Source organism: Homo sapiens, chromosome 1, assembly GCF_000001405.40.
Source record: "Homo sapiens chromosome 1, GRCh38.p14 Primary Assembly".
NCBI lineage: Eukaryota > Metazoa > Chordata > Mammalia > Primates > Hominidae > Homo > Homo sapiens.
The window spans coordinates 46,857,290-46,878,141 of NC_000001.11; the positions used below are offsets into that span (position 1 = coordinate 46,857,290).

Sequence of the window (20,852 nt, forward strand, 5' to 3'; positions counted from 1 at the left end):
GCCAAGAGTGAATGGGGCCATGGCACAGGCACAGGTAGAGAGTGATGAAAATGTGTAAGTGATATTGTGAGGTGTGGGAGAGAAAGCAGGCATCATAAACATGTTTCTTTTTAGAAATAAACAGGATTTTTGGGTAATACAGGGGAAGAGGTGGGTCTGGCGGATATGAGGCATCCATTTGCACATGCTTTGTTGTGCTATAGCTGTATTCAAGGGCCCATTAGCAGGGCAGAGAAAGCGTATAGAGGAATTTAATGCTGGTTGAATTACTGATGAGTGACAGTAGAGAAAGGGAAAATATTCAAGGAAGTTGATGGCATTGCCAAAGGGGAAGTTGGAGTGATGAATCCAGGCATCCAAGCCTGGGGTGAAGAAAGTGAAGTTGTGGAGTGCCTGTGTGTATGAGAGGGGCAGGAAGGAAAGCAGGGTAACAGGAAATGAGACAGATGAGCACGTGAGGTCCAGTGAAGGCCTGAAAGCTCTGTGTGTGGCAAGAAGGTGTGGCGGAAAGGAATGTAAAGTGAGGTGAAGGCAACTCTGCGTGTGCACTTCCTGTCCCTTCATTGTAGCTTGAGGGAGATTAAGGTGCAGCCCTTGAAGGCACTTGGAGGAAAGGGCAGAGACTGCAGGAGACCAGAGATGACGTATAAGTCGCCTAAAACTGAGTCAGCCGGGTGGAGCCAGCTCTTCCACCAACATCCATGCAGATCTCAACAGAATTGTCTGAAGCCCAGAAAGTTACCCGCAGCAGCCGCAAAAGCCACAAGATCAGGAAAGTGAAAGGAACATGAAACAGAAAGGACCTGAATGGGAAAAATTAGAAGGCATGCTGATTCTCACATTTTCAACATGTAGCTTTTGTATGGGTCGGGGGATTTTAAGACTCTGGATTACAGGGCTTAGGTGATCTAGAATGGAAGCAGAGAAAATAATTTTCTTGTGTTGGAAGGCAGCAATAAATCATCATTTTATTGATATTGAAAAAAACCAGAGATTATTGACAGGATTTAAGTATTATTGAAATGCAAGGTTAAGGGAAAAGGTAGTAAAAGTTGACTCTGAGCTGTCTTGTTTGAACAACTAGGTGCGTGGAACATTATGTGCATAGATGCAATATTATGTAGGTAATAAATATTACAATAAATACTATGTGAAAAATAACACTGAATTAAAAAGAGGAAACTTCTTTAGATACTAGATGATTGCAAAGATCCCCATGATAGCAAAGATCTTTCTCTGGAGAGATCCCAGAGAAAGCTTAAGTTGTTGCTGTAGTGTAGTAGTTAAGAGCACACTCTAGAGTCCCATTTCTTGGGTTCAAGTCCTAGTTCTACCATTTACCAGAGATGAAGTTTTACCTTTTTGTCCCTGTTTGCTAAAATGTGCATAACACTAGTATTTCCACAGCAGAACTGGGGGGCAGGAGGATGGGTGGATAAAATGAGTTAACACATGCAAAACATATGGAACAATTCTCAGCTCCTAGTAAGTGCTAAATAATTTTTTCCTTTTGTTGTTACAATAGTAAAGTTGATTTTGTAGGAAACAAATATTTAATTGCTATTGGGCAACTATGGTAGCACAGTAGCAATTAAATATTGCTACATTTAATTAGACTACTACAAATGCCCAATCAAATCCAGTATTTGAAAGATGGTTAAATTGGAGGAAGGTGTAGAAACACACCTCAACATAGGTCAAAGATAAATTCTGGCTCATTCCTTTATATCTCTAATGTCATCTTTCAATCCATCTTGCATCCCACCAATGTATTAATCTTTCTAAAAAATAACTATAATCGTGCTACCCAGCTTAGATGTCTTAAATCTGCTGCTTGATTGAGAAAGGCTGAACACAAAGGTTGGCCTTCAGAAAACTATGATCTGGCTACATCATGGCTCCAGGTATAGTCCCACAACTTCCCTCTGTGAATCCTGGAGTCTGGTGGATTACAGCAATTGCTCCAGTGACATGCCCTGCTGGTGTGCCTGAGGGAAGGGAGAAGGCAGGCTGCCTGCTGCTTTGTGTCTGCTCTTCTCTCTGCCAACAATGCGCCTCTCTCATCTTTGCTGATATAAATCTAGTCCTTTAAGGTTCAGCATTAAAGCCATGATGCTTCATGAAGGCCTCCTCACCCACTCCTCAGTCCATATGGCAGGATTCTGTACCTTTGCACCTGCATAATCCTGTGCCTGTTTAGATAGTCCTGAGAGCTCTCTCCTCTTTCTCCCTCTCTGGGAAATAAGAATGGCCCTAGGTTCCACAGAGTCTAAGGATAAATAACTGTTAAAGACATGAGTGTGTTAAGACATTTCAATCCAAACATAGCTGCATTGTTAAAAAAAAAAAAAGTTGTTTTAAGACCTGCAGGTAAGGAGCGTCCATCTGGAAAGGTAATGGGTTTGTCGAGTAACCGGGATATGTTTACTACCGGTGCGTAGAGGCGGAGGCATTCCTTGATGCACATTGTGGCGTAAGGCATCTGGCTCAGGTGTTCCCTGGGTACAAGCACAGGAGGAAAGGAAAAGGAGGAGTAGTCACTTTGGCATTGCACTGAAAGCCCAGCTTTTCCCCATTTTTGTAACTGAGAATGATTTTGTTCTTTACCCAAAGGAGGACTTCAGATGTATCAAGTATGTCTTAGGAAAAGCTAAATTTTAACATGAACCACTTTTCACATGTAACTGTAAGCTTTTTTTTCGCCGAAGATATAGGGCTCTTATCCTGAGACATACCTATTCCAGGGCTCCTGTGACCAATATCACACATCTGTGAAAATTTGGATAGACATGTGGGCTGTATTTATATCTAGAGTGCTTCTTTTATGAAAATATAAGTATTTCTGATAGTACTGTAGTAGGAATACAGACTACCTTCTTCACTAAGAGAGTTGAAAAAACTCAGGGAACTTTAAAAAATATTCTTAAAAGCATCAATGAGATAACTCATTTGTTAGGAGACCATAAAGAGGATTGGAGGATTGGAGATCACAGAAGTGGGCAGATAATGGCTGATGCTTCTGTTGCGAACCAGAAGTGGAGCAGTGGGCAAGGAGACATGAGTCAGAATCAAGGGCTCAACACATGTGGGGACTGTGGGAAGCCACCTTCAGCTCTGGGCTGGGCCTGCAAAGGAATGCACCTGGAAACAGGTATAGGAAAGGCAAAATAAATGCAAAGAAGTAGAGGAAAAAATAGTTTAGGGAAGAGTAGGAATCAATGAGATAGGCAAAAGCAAAAAGTCAACAAGGTCAGCAATGCTAGATATTGGTTCATTGAAAAGATGAATAAAATTGGTCATTTTTGGGTGAGAATGTTAGAGAAAAAAGACACAACTATCCAAATTGAACAAAAAGGTAACAAGTTTTGTTTCTAGTGATGGTGGACTAAGTAATTCAGTTCATATCTCCTGCTATGACAACCAGAAAATTTGGACCACACACACACAAAAACACACATAGTGTACTTGAACACATCAGAAAGCTAGTAATATAATATAGAGATGTTGGTTCAGGAGAGAATGAAGATTGAAGATTCATGGATTTGATCCTGAGATTTAGAAATGCTTTTCTGCTGGGGGCTTGCCGATTGCAGAAGAGTGAGCTAAGAGACTCAGAAGTGTTTTGGGTAGCCTCCTGTGGCTATGTGGACAAAGATCAGATTGCAGGCCCTCTGGGGGAAGGTGCCTGAAGAATCTAGCTGCTTTGAGTTGGGAGTTCAAAGTTGGCATTCTAGTTAAAAGAGTAAACTGGAGCTACGAAAAGTCACCGTATCAATGGCACAGCTTTTAACGGTCCAAATATTTGAATTAAGAGGATTCTGAATTGCATGATTACAGACACCTGGCATAAAGAAATGTAAATCCTCTCTGGAAGAAGCTTACATCAGCCTTAGTTTACAAGGAATTTGGTAAAAAACTTGTCTGGTACAAAGTAAAAATTTTCCAGGTAAAAAATGAGCCTGGATGACTTGAAAAACAAAACAAACAAAACAACAATCCAGCAGATACAACATAATAAAATAATATCCACAGGAGTTTCAAATATTGGAATCATGAGAATTTTAAAATAGTTTTTCTTACTCAGTACAAGGAGATAAAATTTCAGCAGGTAAAATTTAAAAATTGTAAAAAAATAAAATAAATAAAATAGGGAGGGGGCTCTAAGATGGCTGACTAGAGGCATCTGGTACTCACCTCTTCCACAGACAGGAAGCAACATAGCAAGTAGATAATGACACTTTGAATAGATGATCTAAGGGAGAACACTGGAATTCAACAGAGAAGCGATGGAAAGCACCAAAAGCAAGGAAGGAGAGGAAAGTGAGGCAGCCTGTTTGGCGGGGATCAACTGGGAGTCTGGAGAAGCTCCTTAATATGGGAAAAGAATAAGTGAGAGCCCTCCAGTGATCCACATTCCCACCACGGACTCCTACAATACTAGCTATGGAAGAGCCCACTAACCTTTGCAGGCCCTGAGACTGACATAAGGAGCTGCCTAGAGATTGCATGAAGACATTACTCCAGAGAGAGAGCTCACACTGGGTCCCACAAACCCCTGAGTCCTCAGCAGCTGCAGTGTGGCATCATCTGGAGAGTTCAGCCCCCATCAGACTGTGTCTTGCCTTGGGGTTCAACAGCCTCTACATCTCCACATCCCTGAAGCCCCAGTGACATTCCCCAACAGCTGCTGCTGCTGTTGCTGCTGGGGCCAAGGTGGGAGCCACTGCCAGTGACCCTATCACCCCCAGCAGAGGGGTGGGCACACATTTTCATGCACCCTGCGGACAAATTCCACTGCCTGTAACTGTAGCTGCTGTGGGCTGCTGCAAGGGCCAAGGTGCTAGCAAAGCATGAGTCACCCCACCCCCAGCCCCCAAAAGCCTTTTGCTTATGGCTGCTCCAAATAAAAGCAGCCCCTCCCTCTCCAGTAGCAGGGCCATAGCACAGCTGCTGCCATTCTCATCTGAGCATTCTGCTAGCAGCCTGGGGACCACCCTCTCCCTGCCTACCATAGCCAGCACCTGCATATACTACTGGGGGGTCTGAGGGCAGATCTGCTCAGGCTGGCTCCACTCCTCCCAGTACCTGAGCATGCTGTCTAGGGTCCTAGAGACTGCCCTGCCCAGTCCATCACTGGCACCTGAGACCTTCTCTTGGGGTCTGAGGTTGGGCTCACTCAATCTGCTGCTACCACCACAGCTGGCACCCACCCGCATGTGCCAACTGCAGGCCTGGGGACTGGCCTACTCAGCCCATCACAGCCACCACCAATACCAGTGTGGACTGCTTAGGACCCAGAGGGTTGTCCCACATGCCTGATGCCCAGGGGCTCAAGAACTCACCCATCCACCTGGCCCACCACTGCTATTTCCAACGCTCAGGCAAGCCACCTGGAAACCAAAGAATTGGCCTGCCTGGAGCAGCCAACACTGGTGCTAGTATACATCACCCTGGTGCCCAAGAACAGGCATACTCAGCCCACTGCAGCCACTGCTGGGACCCGAAGACTGGCCCATGTAGTATCCCAGTTCCTAGCAAAGCTTCACCACACTTTTCACTAAGCACATCCTAAGCCACTGAGAAAATCACAGACAACAATGATGCTGTTTACAGTTGAAGAAATCATACAGTGATTACACTACTGCACACACCCAGAATCAAAGCCAAAGCATCCTACCCAATGAACACTACACATACATTTTCAGGAAGAGTCCTCCCCTATGAAAGCAAATTCAAAAAATTAGAAGAAGCAACTGTTACACAAGATGCACAAATACCAATGTAAGAACAGAGGAAACATGAAAAGCAAGGAAAGAACACAGTAATTCTCTAGCAACAGATCCCAATCAAAAATAAATTTACAAAATACTGGAAAAAGAATTCAAAATATTGACCCTAAAGAAGCATGGTGAGGCCGGGCGTGGTGCCTCACGCCTGTAATCCCAGCATTTTGGGAGGCAGAGGCAGGCATATCACCTGAGGTCAGGAGTTCGAGACCAGCCTGGCCAACATGGTGAAACCCTGTCTCTACTAAAAATAAAAAAATTAGCCGGATGTGGTGGCATGTGGCTGTATTCCCAGCTACTCGAAAGTCTGAAGAAGGAGAATCGCTTGAACCCGGGAAGTGAGAATGCAATGAGCGGAGATCACACCATTGCCACCATTGCATTCCAGCATGGGCAACAAGGGCAAAACTCCATCTAATAAATAAATACAGCAAGCATGGTAAGATATAAGAGAATGCTGAAAAACACTACAAAGAAGTCAGACAAGAAATTCAGGATATGAGTGAGAAATCCATCAAAGAGACAGATATAAAAAAAGATGGCTCACACCTGTAACCTCAGCACTTTGAGAGGCTGAGGCAGAAAGATTGTTTGAGGCCAGGAGTTCAAGACCAGCTTGGACAACATTGTGAGATCCTATCTGTATTTAAAAAAATTAACCAGGCATGGTGGCACATGCCTGTAATCCCAGATACTTGGAAGGCTGAAACAGAAAGATTGCTTGAGCCCAGGAGTTTGAGGCTGCAGTGAGCTATGATCATGCCACTACACTCCAGCCTGGGTAACAGAGTGAGACTCTGTCTCTTAAAAAACAAGCAAACAAACAAAAACAAACAGAGATTCTGAAACTGAAAAATTCATTGAATGAAATAAAAAATACATTTGGAAGCTCCAACAATCAGACTAGATCAAGCAGACTCAGACCTTGATGATGGGTCTTTTGAAATAACTCAGAAAAATTAAATAAAAAAGGATAAAAAAGAATGAGCAGAGCCTATGTGACATATAAGACACCATAAAATCATCAAATATTCAAATTTTTTGTGTCCCAGAAGGTGAAGAGAAAACAAAAAGGTTAGAAAACCCTTTAATAAAATAATAGGTGACAACTTCATAAGTCTAGCAAGAGATTTACACATCCGCATACTGGAGGCTTAAAAATTCCCAAATAGATACAATTCAAAAGGTCTTCTCTATAGCATATTATGGTCAAACTGTCAAAAGACAAAGATGAAGAGAAAATGCTAAAAACAGCAAGAGAACAGTGTCAAGTCACCAGTCATTTATAAAGGAACCTCCATTAGGCTAACAGCAGATTTCTCAGCAGAAACCTTATAGGCCAGGATAGAATGGGATGATACATTCAAAGTGCTGAAACAAAACAATGGTTAGTCAAGGATACTATTCCCAGCAAAGTTATCCTTCATAAATGAAGGAGAAACAAGCAAAAGCTGAGGGAATTCATCACCACTGGGCTCAACCTACGAAAAATGCTCAAGGGCGTCCTACACCCAGAAGTAAAAGAGTGATAATTGCCATAGTGAAAATACTAGAAAATATAAAGATCACTGGTAAAACTAACACACAAACAAGACAGAGAAAAAGCTCAAATGTTACCACTACAGAATACAACCTAACCACAATGATAAACAATGAAAGAAAAGAACAAAGTATATACAAAACAACCAGAAATCAATTAATAAAATGGCAGCAATATGCCATCACATATCAGTAATAACTTGGAATGTAATTAAATTTTCCACTTAAAAGATATATACTGGCTGAATGGATTAAAAAACATGACCCAACTATATGCTGTATACAAGAAGCTCATCTCACCTGTAAAGACACATATAGACTGAAAGTAAAGGAATGGGAAAAGATAGTCCATGCAAACAGAAACCAAAAATGAGTAGGAGGAGCTATGTTTATATCAGAGAAAAAGTAAAAAATTATAAAAAAAGACATAGAAAGTCATTATATAATGATAAAAGGATCAGTTTAGCAAGAGGTTATAACAATCTAAACATGTATGCATCCAACATTGGAGGACCCAGATATATAAAGCAAATATTGTTAGAACTAAAGAGATACACTTTAATACAATAACAGTTGGAGACTTCAGCACCCAACTCTCAGCTTTAGACAGGCCATCTAGACAAATTTGGATGGTCTAGATGGATTTAAATTGCACATTGGACTAAATGGACCTCCCAGACATTTACAGAATATTTTGTCCAAAAGCTACAGATTACATATTTTTCTTATCAGCACATGGAATATTTTCCAGGATAGACTATATGTGAGGACACTAAACAAGTCTGAAAACATTTTTTAAAAATTAAAATCATATGAAGTGTCTTCCCAGACCACAAAGGACTAAAATTAGAAATCAATAATAAGAGGAACTTTGGAAACTGTACAAATACATGGAAATTAAACAGCATTCTCCTGAACAGCAAATGAGTCAAGAAAGAAATTATGAAGGAAATAAAAAAAAGTCTCGAATCAAATGAAAGTTGAAACACAACTTACCAAAACCTATGACATACAGCAAAAGCAGTGCTAAGATGGAAATTATAGTAATAAGTGCCTACAGCAAAAACCTAGAAAGATTTCAAATAAGCAATCTAATGAGGCACCTCTAGGAACTAGAAAAACAAGAACAAACTAAACCCCAAATCAGTAGAAGGAAAGAAATATAAAGATCAGAGCAGAACTAAATGAAGTAGAGGCTAAAAGAACAATGCAAGGATCAACAAAATGAAAGTTGGTTTTTGAAAAGATAAGTAAAATCAACAAACCACTGTTAGACTAACAAAGAGAAAAAGAGAGAAGATCCAAATAAAATCAAATGAAAAAGAAGACGTTCAACTGATACCACAGAAATACAAAAGGTCACTAGAGACTGTTATGAACAACTATACACTAACAAACTAGAAAACCTAGAAGAAATGGGTAAATTCCTGGAAACATTCAACCTACCCAGATTGAACTGGAAAGAAATAGAAAATCTGAACAGACCAATATGAGTAGTGAGATTGAATCAGTAACAAAAAGTCTTCCAACAAAGAAAATTCCAGAACTGGATGGTTGTTCTTAAAAGCATTATTTATACAGTAGTCCCCACTTATCCGTGAGGGATACGTTCCAAAACCCCCAGTGGATGCCTGAAACCATGGATAGTACTGAACTTTGTATATACTGTTTTTTCATATACTTTGAGGCCATTATTAAGTAAAATAAGAGTTACTTGAACACAAGCACTGTGATACCAAGACAACTGATTTGATAACCAACACCAACCGTGACCAACTGGCAGGTAGCATATACAGTGTGGATACGCTGGACAAAGAAATGCTTCACATCCTTGATGGGACAGAGGGAGATGGCAGGAGATTTCATCATGTTACTCAGAATGGCATCAATTTAAAACTTATAAATTGTTTGTTTATGACATTTTTCATTTAATATTTTTGGACCACGGTTGACAGTGGATACTGAAATCATGGAAAGTGAAACCACAGATAAGAAGGAGCCATTGTAATAGCAAAACCAAAACAAAACCTGAGAATAGCCTAAATGTTCATCAACACTAGAATGGATATAGGATTCATGATTTATACATAATGGAATTCCATAGTGGAATGAAAATGACCGAAAAGAAGCTCCTCTAAAAAATGAGTGAATCCTGTGCAAAAGAAGTCAAACAAAAGAATGTATGATTTTATTCATATGTACTTCAAACAGAAGATAAACTAGACTCTAGTATTTAAAGTTGCATGCTTAGGCAACAAACTATAAACAAAAACAAAGAATGAATGTTATTAAAGTCAGGAAAACATTTACATCTTGGAGAAATAGAAGGGGTTTGTGATGGGAAGGCAGGCACGAGGTTTTTAGCAGTGCTGGTAACGTGCAATTTTTCTTTTAAACCAGGATTGCAACTATATGGCGTTTGTTAGACAACATTTTAAGCTGTACATCTGTTCTTTGTACTTTTTGAATGTGTTCTATGTTTCACCACTTTAAAAGTTTTTAAGACATGATCAGTTTGGTTTTATTAACACCATGAAATACCCAGCAGCTCAAGGTTAATCATCATTGTGGGGTGGCAGTGTTTAAGGTTCAGAGATGGTGATAAGGAAGAGGGGTGTGAATTCTCTTTCATGTCAAGTGACTGAACATCTTACTTGGGCAATCTAAGGTGGTAAAAGCTGGAGTCCTAAGAAGTCCATTTACATCTTGGAGAAAGAGGGGTTTGTTATATTCCTGCCTTCCGTGACATAAAAAAGGTAGGCAGACTATTCCTTCCGCAATTGTACCAGTGCCTGAAGTGAGGAAAGTTATAAAATAGGGCATACTGGCCGGCGCGGTGGCTCACGCCTGTAATCCTGGCACTTTGGGAGGCCGAGACGGGCGGATCACGAGGTCAGGAGATCGAGACCATCCTGGCTAACACGGTGAAACCCCATCTCTACTAAAAATACAAAAAATTAGCTGGGCATGGTGGCGGGCGCCTGTAGTGCCAGCTACTCCGGAGGCTGAGGCAGGAGAATGGCGTGAACCCGGGAGGCGGAGCTTGCAGTGAGCCGAGATCACACCACTGCACTCCAGCCTGGGCGACAGAGCGAGACTCCGTCTCAAAAAAAAAAAAAAAGGGCATACTGAATACTGTGTGATTGACACAATGTTTTTCCACATAAAAACTAGTGATAATCTTTAAATAACATAGGACTCTAGCCTGTATCTTTACCCTTCCAAATGCATACAGACTATCCCAATGCACAGTAACTCACTGATACCGGAAGAGAGAAATAATCAAATGTATAAGGGGAAAATTCAGGATGAAATAGGAATACAGATCTTACCAGGTAATAGAAGACCCATCCCCTAGGAGTTCCCTGATTTCATCTCAGCATCTCTGCTGATGCTCAGGGTACTTTGCCAAGCAGTAAAAGATCCAGGAGATAGCAGTAGTTGTGGTGTCATGTCCTGCAAACATGAACGTTTTCACTTCAGCTTGGAGATCTGCTTCAGAGAAGTCTTTGGTGTTTTCACTCTAAAAAATACAGTGATGATATTTATGCAAAGCTGGCTATGGATTGTTATATTTTTCAATTGTAGCAATGATAATACAAAAATATTAATGTTTCAAAATTCAAAATTAATACAACTAATTTGGCATATATTTTTCTATTTTACTTTTTTTCAAACCTTAACAGAACACCAGGTGATGTAAAAAGAAATGACTCAACAGAATTCAACTGGGCAGAATAAATCGAGAGTCCTATGGACATTCATATTTTTTGATTTATTAATTCTACTTAAAGGAATAAACTCTAAGAAAATGTTTAACAATTGCACAAGAGATTTATGTACGAGAATGTTTAATACCATAGTCAAAAGAAGGAAAGACCATAAGTGGCCAAAAATAGGGAAAGGTAAAAATAAGTTATGGACCATCCATAAAATGGGACATTATGTAGTAACTAAAATTATGTCTTTGAATAACTTCTTAATGATAAGGGGGAAGCTCATGATTTAATATTAGGTGAAAAGAGCGGCATTAGAAATGTATTACATATGTATATGTGAGATAATAGTAATTTAAAAATATACAAGTTGAATAGACAAAATATTGAAGGAAAATGATAGTATTACCAAATGGGATTGCAGGCAGTTTTAATTTCCTTTACTGTCTATTTAATTTTGTTTAACAATTAATGTGTACTATTTTTCCACCAACAACAGGCAAGCTAAGAGCCAAATCATGAATGAACTACCATTCACAACTGCCACAAAAGAATAGAATATCTAGGAATACATCTAACAATGGAAGTGAAGGACCTTTTTGAGAAGAACTACAAACCACTGCTCAGAGAAATCTGAGAGGACACAAACAAGTGGGAAAGCATTCCATGCTCATGGATAGGAAGAATCAATATCATGAAAATGGCCATGTTGCTCAAAGCAATTTATGGATTCAATGCTGTTCCCATTAAACTACTATTGAGATTCTTCATAGAATTAGAAAAAACTTTTAAAATTCATATGGGGCTGGGTGCAGTGGCTCATGCCTGTAATCCCAACACTTTGGAAGGCCAAGGTGGGAGGATCACTTGAGTTCAGGGGTTCAAGACCAGCATGGCCAACATGGTGATACCTCATCTCTACTGAAAATACAAAAATTAGCTGGGCATGATGGCTGGCATCTGTAATCCCAGCTACTCAGGAGGCTGAGACATGAGAATCGCTTGAACCCGGGAGGTGGAGGTTGCAGTGAGCCAGGAGCACACCACTGCACTCCAGCCTGGGTGACAGAGTGAGAGTCAGACTCTCAGACTCAAAAAAAAAAAAAAAAAACAAAACACTCACATGGAACCCAAAAAGAGCCTGAGTAGCCAAGACAATCCTAAGAAAACAAACAAACAAACAAACCAAAGCTGGAGGCCTCTTCAAATTATTCCACAAGACTACAGTAACTAAAAAAGCATGGTACTGGTACAAGAACAGACACAGAGACCAATGGAACAGAATAGGGAACCCACAAATAAGACTGCACACCTACAATCATCTGATCTTCAGCCAAGTCAACAATAACAAGCAATGGAAAAAGGATTCCCTATTTAATAAACCATGCTGGGAGAACTGGGTAGTCATATGGAAAAAATGGAAACTTCCTTACATTATGTGCAAAAATCAACTCAAGATGGATTAAAGAACCCAAAACTATGAAAACTCCAGACAAAAATCTAGGCAATACCATTCAGGACATAGGACACCGGGGCCTGTTGTGAGGTGGGGGGAGTGGGGAGGGATAGCATTAGGAGATATACCTAATGTTAAATGACGAGTTACTGGGTGCAGCACACCAACATGGCACATGTATACATATGTAACTAACCTGCACGTTGTGCACATGTACCCTAAAACTTAAAGTATAATAATAAAAAAATTAAAAAAAAAAGACGCCAAAAGCAATTGCAACAAAAGCAGAAATTGACAAATGGGATCTAATTAAACTAAAGAGCTTCTCTGCACAACAAAAGAAACTATTATCAGCATGAATAGACAACCTACAGAATAGGAGAAAATTTTTGCAATCTATCCATTTGACAAAGGCCTAATATCCAGCATCTACAAGGAATTTAAATTTACAAGAAAAACAACTCCATTAAAAAGGAGGCAAAGGACATGGATAAATATTTCTCAAAGGAAGACATACATGTGGCCAAAAAACACATGAAAAAGCTCAACATCAGTAATCATTAGAGAAATGCAAATCAATACCACAGTGAGATACCATCTCATGCCAGTCAGAATGGCTGCTATTAAAAATTCAAAAAACAACAGATGCTGGGGAAATTGTGGAGAAGAAGGAACACTTTTACACTGCTGATGGGAGTGTAAATTAGTTCAACTCTTGTGGAAGACAGTGTGGTGATTCCTCAAAGACCTAGAGGCAGGAATACCATTTGATCCAATGATCCCATTACTGGGTATATACCCAAAGGAATACAAATCATTTTATTATAAAGATACATGCACACGTATGTTCACTGCAGCACTATTCACAATAGCAAAGACATGGAATCAACTTAAATGCCCATCAATAATAGATGGGATAAAGAAAATGTGGTACATATACACCATGGAATACTATGCAGACATAAAAAGGAATGAGATCGTGTCGTTTGCAGGGACATGGATGGAGCTAGAAGCCATTATCCTCAGAAAACTAACACAGGAACAGAAAACCAAATACCACATATTCTCACTTACAAGTGGGAGCTGAATGATGAGAACACATGGACACGTGGTGCGGGAACAGCACACCTGGAGCCTGTTGGGGGATGGGGGCTGGGAGGAGGGAGAGCATCAAGAATAGGTAATGAGGCCATGCATGGTGGCTCACGCCTGTAATCCCAGCACTTTGGGATGCTGAGGTGGGCAGATCATTTGAGATCAGGAGTTCTAGACCAGCCTGGCCAACATGGCAAAACCCGTCTCTATTAAAAAAAAAGAAAAAATCAGCCAGGCGTGGTGGCACATGTCTGTAGTCCCTGCTACTAGGGAGGCTGAGGCAGGAGAATCGCTTGAACCCGGAAGGCGGAGTTTGCAGTGAGCCAAGATTGCACCACTGTACTTCAGCCTCAGCGACAGAGTGAGGCTCTGTTAAAATACAAAAAAAAAAAAGAATAGCGAATGAGTGCTGGGCTTAATATCTAGATGATGGGATGATCTGTGCAGCAAACCACTATGGCACACGTTTACCTATGTAACAAACCTGCACATCCTGCACATGTACCCCTGAACTTAAGAGTTGGAAATCAAAAAGAAAAAAGATATTAACTCAAAATGAAAACAATGAGTACTATTTTTCTAATCAGAAAATGTTATTTTATTTTTTACTATTATTTTTAGAGTCGATGTCATCCCCTGTCACACAGACTGGAGTGCAGTGGCATGATTAGCTTTGAATTCCTGTTCAAGTGATCCTCCCACCTCAGCCTCCAGAGTAGCTAGGGCTACAGGCAGTGCTGCCACACCTGGATAATTTTTAAATTTTTGTAGAGATGGGGTCTTACTATGTTGCCCAGGCTTGTCTCAAACTCCTGGCCTCAAGTGATCCTCCTGCCTCTGTCTCCTGAGTCGCTGGATTACAGGTATGAGCCACCAGGCTCAGCAGAAAATTAAATGTGTGTGTGTGTGTGTGTTTTTAACAAGTCATTAGTTCCTGGCAATTCTATTTCACTTCCAAATCCACCTCATTTTGCAGTGCCCTGTTCTTAGTAGTCCTGGTTTAGGAAGAGTCGTGTTTCACATGATCAAGGTAGCCAACACAATGAAAGTTGAGTTCACAGAGTATTTATTTATTTTGGTCCCTCACAGAGTATCTATTTATTTTTGGTCCCTCACAGAGTATTTATTTATTTTTCTTCCCTCAAATAATTCAGCACAATTAAATTCAGCAAATATTTATTGAACACTTGGAGATGATGATGGAAAATTATGTTCACGTAGTGCCATCTAGTACAATGGAAATGGCATGGGATTTGGACTGAACCAGAATTGTCTTAAATCCTGGCTTTGTTAGTTTTAGGTATGTCATCTTGAGCAGTTCACTTCACTTTTTGAGCCACAATTTCTCTTCCTTACATAAAGATATTTATAAATACCCCACAGGTTGTTATAATAAAGGTTGAAGGTGCTTGGCACATAAGCAAAAATTATGAATAAATATGTATTAAAATATATAATAACTACAAAATAAAATAAAAATATTGTTTTTCTCACCACATGTCAGGATCTTTACACATATAATCTAATTTTATCCTTACAGGATTGCTAGCCTGGTGTGCAACAATAGTTGTCATATATTGAGTGACTGTCAATTGCCAAGTCCTTCACTTTTCTCATGAACATCACATGGACACCTCATGAGCCAGTCACCAAGCACTGTGCTAATCACTAGGGAAACAGGAATAAAATATGATCCTAGTCTTCTAGGATGGGGTTTTTCAAACTTTAATTGCAAATGAAACACCGAGGGATATGTTGAAATGAAGATTCTAACCCACTAGGTCTGAGGTAGGGCCTAAGATTCTGCATTTCTAACAAGCTCCCAGGTTTTACCAATGCTGCTGGTCTATAGACCACATGTTGAGGAAGAAGGTTTCAGCAGCTTGTGGGCTTGGAAAAAGACAGACAAGTGCCCAGATAATTAAAATGTGACACTGGAGGCATGAGGGAAAGCCCTGGGAGGACAAGGAGGCAAATCTTCACAAGGGAAGTTCAATATGCATCAGTTATCATATAAGTAAGTTTTTCTAATTTATTTATTTGATATTTTAATTTTACTTATTTATTTTTTGAGACAGAGTCTTGCTCTACCACCTCCCAGGTTCAAATGACTCTCCCACCTCAGCCTCCCGAGTAGCTGGGACTACAGGCATGCACCACCATGCCCAGCTAATTTTTGTGTTTTTTGTAGAGACCAGGTTTCACTATGTTGGCCAGGCTTGTCTCAAACTCCTGACCTCAAGTGATCTGCCCGCCTTGGCCTCCCAAAATGCTGGATTACAGGTGCTAGTCACTGTGCCCGGCCTATTTCTTTATTATTTAATTATTGAGTTGCATGTGTTCAGAAGTTTAGAAGACTTACTTTGGCACTCAAAAGTATGTCCAGAAAATCCTGGCGTCTTTTCTGAGTAGTATCTTGTTTTAGCTTATCCTTAAGAGACTCCTTCCGGTCCTGGATTACTTTCTCTAGATGGAAAAATTATGATCTTTGTTATTATCAAGGTTACTGGAAAGTCAATCAAAGCCAAATGTAGTTCTGAGAAGCTGGTGCTTTATGGGGACCCCCTGGCACCCCCCCCATGTTTCTGAGTTGGTAAGGGACAGTACCACCAGCTGTCTTTTTTTTTTAAATGGTCCCATCCCTGACCTACAGGTACTTCACCCTTTAGCCACAATTTCTCTTCCTTCAAGTAAGAATGTTGAAATGTATCACACCGAGTTGTTGTAAAGGTTGGAGGTGTTTGACATATATGCTTAGAGGTGCTTGGTACATAAATTTAATTCAAAGGTTGTAAAATTTGTTTGTGATGTAGGGTACTGTTACCAATCGCTGAGCTTAATTTGTACAACCTAGGCTTTGGTTTTAAAGAAAAAGATGAGATGTCATATCTCATGGTAGAGACTGGTGCTCAAAATGAGTGGTGGAGGAATACTGAAAATATTCCCTTTGAGAACTGGAACAAGACAAGGAAGCCTACTCTCACCACTCCTATTTAACATAATACTGGGAATGCTAGCCACAGCAATCAGGCAAGAGAAAGAAATAAAAAGCATCCAAATAGGAAAATAAGAAATCAAACTATCTCTCCTTGCGGATGATAAATTCTATGCCTGGAAAACCCTGAAGACTCTGCCAAAAGGCTCCTGGAACTGATAAATGACTAGTGGAAATAGAAATTCTCTCCATAACACACATTGTTAGTTCTCTACAGTACATTGCAGCTTTCCAACTTTTCCTTTTTGTGCCTTTTCTACTGGAAACTAGGCTCTAAGCTACTTCTGTGAACAGGAAAGTTCTGCCTTTAGCAGTTAGGAGTAAAATGTCTTCCATAGCCAAATTTTAGTCTCCATATTGTCCCATCAGCATGAAAATAGCCCCTCAGTTCCTATGTTCTTTTAAGACATCCAATCTGTTTCCTACTAAAATGGTACTTAGTAAGGGGATTCTAAGTTTGGAAGTTAACTGGAACCATTTTTCTAAGGTAAATGCTTTAGCATGGGCCATAATAGCAGGCAATTTGGCACATTGCCTCCATTAAAGGAGGCTTGCCCAAAAATGACACAGTCTCTCATATTTTGGGGAGCCGGGCAGATCACACAGGTTTAGGAAGTGAAAAGAGGAATGACACAAGGTGGATAAGCTAAGGTTGTGTGGGTAAAGCATCACTTAGTTCATCTGGTTCCATAGCTTGGAGGACCACGCCTTCGACCATAGGTGGCATAGTTAACAGGGTGCTGGGACCCAAGAACCAGGGAGAGAAAACAGCCAGAAGGATGCTCCCCTGTCTTGTCCTTCACCCTGGGTCATATGGAAAGGAAGGAGACTAAAAGAACTCTCACATCTTTTTCTAGATGGGTAACAGATTATCTTCAGCTTGCACCCCTCTGGAGTGCACTCTGAAACACTGGAACTTCTTTAACCTCAGGACTTCAAAAAGAAAAGCAACTCATTTTCTTTTGCACAAGTGCATGGCATTTTTACTAAACCCTTGCAAACATCGTAAGATCAACCCAACTCTTTTAACAATCATATCAGGCAGGCCCAAAAAAGAATAGTTCCCCCAAATTAGAGAAGTAACCTCCAGGGAAACCATCTGAGGATTCCCCTTATTTGGGGCCCCTTCAAGTTCCCTTCTCATTATAGGACCTTAGGCAAATAAATGGAGACTTAGGCCAGTTTTCTAATGACCCTGATAGGTATTTAGAGGCTTTCCAAAATTTAACTCAGGTATTTCACCTGCCATGGAGGGATGTTATGCTGTTCCTAAACCAGACCCTCACAGCAGCTAAAAAGCAGGCAGCTCTGCAAGCAACAGAAAATGTTGGAGATGAGCAATATATCTCCTATAATACACCAAAAGGGAAGAAAGCAGATAGGGAAAGTAAAGAAATAGCAAAAACACCATTCCCAATTGGGAGAGAGGCAATTCTGGTAAAGACCCCTAATTGCAACCCCAATAACTCAGAAGATAAATGGAAAAGGAAGCACTTTTTAATATGCATTTTAGAAGGCCTATGGAAAACCAGGACCAACCCTCTCAATTACTCTAAACTGTCTATAATAGACCAGAAGCCAGATAAGAATTCCGTAGCCTTTACAGAAAGGCTGAGAGAGGCTGTACTAGAACCCCAATATTAGAAGGAAAGTACAGAAGCAAGCTATAGGACCAGATAGCACCTTAGAGAACCTCCTGAAGGTGGCCACTTTGGTCTTTTATAATAGGGACCAGGGGGAGGCCCAAAAGAAAGAGAAAAAGCTCAGGAGAAGGAGAGAGACGGTAGCACCAACTTTGCAGGCTTGCAAAGTCCAGGATCCCCAAGTTGCATCCGCTAGTTTCTATCGGTGTGGCATTTTAAGAAGGAGTGCCCAGGCAGCAAGACAAAGCCAGCGTGACCCTGTCCAGCCTGTGGCACAGATCACTGGACATGGAAGTGCCCCCAGAGGTGGAGGTCACTGGGTTCAGGACCACTCTCACAGATGGTCCAGCAGGACTGATGGGTCCTGGGACTCAAATGCCGACTCCAGTGGCTCAAACTGCTAGTACAGCACGGGAGCCCTGGGTGATTCTGGAAATTAAAGGAAGGAAAGCGGACCTCCTTCTGAACATTAGAGCCAGTCTCCTTTCTCCCCTTTAACTCCAGGCCTCCCCTCTTCCCATAGCACGACCAGAAGGGGCATATCAGGAAAAACTCTGATCCAATATTTTTCTCAACCTTAGTTGCAGTTAGAACTTATTGTTTACACGTGTTTCCAAACCATCGTCATAACAGCTCTACTAGCAAAAAAAGCCTCCAGGTTAACCCTAGGAAATAATTTAACTGTTTACACTCCACATGATGTGGCATTATCACTGTCCTGTAGGGGGAGCTCTTAGTTAACAAACAGCCAGTAAAGCAAGAAGTACATAAGGCAGGATAAGCAGTAGTCACTCTAAATAATGTCTCTCCCCAGGCACAAGCACTTAATTGACTGAGCTAATAGCACTTACAAGAGCACTTGAATTAAGCAAGGAAAGGTAGCTAACATTTATACCTACTCCAAGTACGCTCTCTTAGCTCTCCATGCTCATGCTGCCATTTAAAAGGAAAACCGCCAATGGACCTCCTATAAAATATCACCACAAAATTAGCAGGTTATTATCCTCAGTTTTTCTTCCATGAGCAATAGGAGGGATGCATTGCAGGGGACATCAAAAGGGAACAAATAAGATAGCCGAAGAAAATAGGTTAGCTGATCAGGCAGCTAAATCAAAGGCAAGGAAGCCTCAGGGCATCAACATGCTTCAAGCCCCTTCTAATTTAGGAAGGCTTCATAAGAGAAATTAAACCCCAGTATTCCCCTGCAGAAATAAAATAGGCCACTTCTCAAGGGCATACTTTTCAGTTCTCAGGATGGTTACAGTCAGGATGGCAAACTCTATTTGCCAGCCTCCAGCCAATGGAAAGTCCTTAAAATCCTTTGCCAAGCTTTTCACTTGGAAAAGGACAAAAACTTATCAATGTGCTCAGAGATTGTTTCAGGCAGGAAACCTCTAAATTGGTTAAGCATGTAAACTCTCTAGCTCACTTCCAATAGACGATAACACAACTAACAAGAACCCAATCCCAAGAAATAGAAACACCTTTATTTAACCCAGGAAATTTGGTATTGGTGAAAACTCTCAGCTCTTTCTCCTTCCCTAAGTCAAGCTGGAAAAGGCCCTACACTGTTCTTCTTTCAACCCCCTCAGCAGTAAAAGTTACAGGAATCAACTCCTGGATACATCACACTCAAGTCAAAGCCTGAAGAGCTGAGGGAGCAACCCCTGACAGCTCAGAGGAATGTCTCCATATCAATGTGAAGAAACAGAGGATCTTAAGCTGAAAATCATAAAAGATAAGTAACTGAGTGACGGCTACTTATCTTACTCAGTCCCTCTCCTACCTCACCAGATACTTTTCACTATTTCTAACCTTTCCTCTCAAAGATCATCACCAGATACTAAAACTTCTTTTTAACACATATTTGCAGGGAGATTTTAATTATTCATAGAATCGCATTTGTAATTTTGTAAATCCCCAAAGGGAAATGTTATGTAAACTTTTCAAAGGAAATTATTTACTATGCCACTCTTGTGGGAATTGTTATAGTCATGCTACTATTTGCAAAAGAAGTATACACTGTAGCACCCACAATGTGGAACTCTGGTTGTAAAATTCTAATTGCTGTAATATCTTGCCTAATTATTATCCTTATAACAGGATTAATAATTGCAGGAAAGATTTAGTCAAGGTTGTTTTGCTTATGGCAGGAGTAATAGTTATGGACAAGAAACAAGTATGAAAATTTTACTATCATTAAGTTTAATAGGACTTTTTACTGAAGGTTCATAATATAATCCATTTTAAGCTATGAAGAGAAGGTTATAAAGAAGAAGATTTTATAAAAGAAAGGATTTTGTATGGTAAATACTTGTCCTAAAAAAGATGACTGGTTGTTTAAAGGAAGAATGTTTAGGACATGTCAGAAAGTTTAAGTGTGTTGTAAGAGGGTCTATGAAAGTCAGAAAAAATTAATAATTAAAGAAAAGGAATTGTGAGATTAACGCTAAAGTTGTTTTAGCATCAATATCATATTTCTCCCAATCATATTGCAAGTTATAAAAATGGCCTAAGCCTGAACTTATTCTCTAAGCAAACCTAACTGCTGTGAAGGGGCATTGGACGACAATTCCTTCTTGCTACTGCCTGCTGAAAAGGGGCGTTGTGTGGGAGAAAGGC

General features: G+C 40.4%; 1 pseudogene across 1 annotated transcript in view, besides 1 other annotated feature; it reads right to left on the minus strand.

The window, feature by feature from the left end:
• Positions 1 to 20,852, minus strand: part of CYP4Z2P (cytochrome P450 family 4 subfamily Z member 2, pseudogene) — a 57,381-nt pseudogene that overhangs the window by 14,195 nt on the left and 22,334 nt on the right. Inside the window, exons 7-9 of the transcript NR_002788.2 lie at positions 15,955 to 16,058; positions 10,658 to 10,848; positions 2,365 to 2,498 (exon numbers count right to left, since the gene is read on the minus strand). The product of NR_002788.2 is annotated as a cytochrome P450 family 4 subfamily Z member 2, pseudogene (transcript). The remainder of the gene's footprint in view (positions 1 to 2,364; positions 2,499 to 10,657; positions 10,849 to 15,954; positions 16,059 to 20,852) is intronic.
• Positions 4,294 to 4,900: an enhancer, noted in NCBI's record as "H3K27ac-H3K4me1 hESC enhancer chr1:47327255-47327861 (GRCh37/hg19 assembly coordinates)". NCBI's record gives its function as "activates a minimal SCP1, AML or CMV promoter by ChIP-STARR-seq in naive H9 embryonic stem cells {active_cell/tissue: H9 hESC(naive)}" and the evidence as "EXISTENCE:reporter gene assay evidence [ECO:0000049][PMID:30033119]".